We start from the raw sequence: 1,417 nt of genomic DNA, 5'->3' as shown, positions 1-1,417 counted from the left end.
GTCTTAATCATGTCCTCACGGTAGAGGCTCTTCAGGTCCTATCATTATGAGATTAGATAATATTTGAAACTATAACATCCAACTCGTAGACACAAGGAGACGACCAGAACAGTGAAGTCACCCAGAGCCTTGACATTGTCATTTTAATGAGTTAATTGTAGAACGAGTTGCTCCTATACTACTTTTTTTTTTCTTTTGACAGCATCTGGCTCTGTCACCTAGGCTGGAGTGCAGTGTCATGCTAATGGCTCACTGCAGCCTCAGCCTCATGGGCTGAAGCAATTCTCCCACCTCAGCCTATCTAGTAACTGTTTCTACAGGTGCTGACCACCATGCCTGGCTAATTTTTGTATCTTTTGTAGAGAAGGGTTTTCGCCACATTGTCTAAGCTGGTGTCCAACTTCTGCACTCAAGGGATCCACTCCCCTTGGCCCCCCAAAGTGCTGGGAATGCAGACGCGAACCACCACACTCGGCCTCCTGAACTTATTATTAAACGTAAAAGTAAACCTCTCTTCTTTAACTCTCTTTTTAATAATTATTCTGTTACCTGAAATCAAAAGATCCCTAAGTTAGGGAGACATAGGCAAAGAGTGGGATTTGAAGAGACCTCATAGTTTGAGTAGGAAAATTGCTGTAGCAAATAGAAGATTGACCATAAGATGTCAGATCTGAGCCAAATGTCTCAGTGAATGCTACTGGATTCACGGATAAGAACAGATACTACGTTCGGTCTTAGCCAAAAGGCCGAGAAGCGATTAATGTTACGCGATTTAAATGACAATGTTAGAACCGGATTACATGATGTCCCCACCATGTATGTCTCTGTATATAAACATAGAGTGAAATGATGATTTTCTGTTTATGTATTGACTATGCATGTGCTTTTTCACAATTGTTACCTACCGTAGGAAGGGACGAGGAAATGCTAAGTTGACTGAGAAAACCCTTATTTGACTATTTTTTTTTTTACATGGACCTAACATCGATCCTTTTAAAAATACCAGGAAGAGTTGGCAATCATGTTGGCATTAAATTCAGGTACCGAGTTTTAGAGTTGCATTTTTCCATATATGTGTGCTGAGATTTTACTTGTGTAAATTTGCATTTTGTTTCTTTAAGGCCGATTCAGGCAGTCACTTCCATAAACCTCTTACCTCTATCCATCCATAATGAGATTGGCTGAAATTAAATGCGCTAGGTGTGATGTAGCTGAGACGCTATTACATTTTTGGTAGCATCATTAAAAATGCAAGCTTTCAAACATTAGTCTTATTTGAAATGGAAAGGTTAATTTAAATGTTTAGCTTTTATAAAGAACACACTAACCCACATTCCCTTATTTTATTTATTTTATAGTGGATAAAGAATATTCTCTTTCAATTCATCTCTTGACATATAAATTATATGCACTTAAA

The 1,417-nt window shown here is 38.3% G+C and overlaps 1 pseudogene; it reads right to left on the bottom strand.

The window, feature by feature from the left end:
* Positions 1-625: 625 nt before the first annotated feature.
* Positions 626-758, bottom strand: LOC124905064 (uncharacterized; annotated as a pseudogene).
* Positions 759-1,417: the final 659 nt, after the last annotated feature.

Source organism: Homo sapiens, chromosome 21, assembly GCF_000001405.40.
Source record: "Homo sapiens chromosome 21, GRCh38.p14 Primary Assembly".
NCBI classification, from domain to species: domain Eukaryota; kingdom Metazoa; phylum Chordata; class Mammalia; order Primates; family Hominidae; genus Homo; species Homo sapiens.
This window is presented reverse-complemented; position numbering and strand designations above follow the sequence as displayed.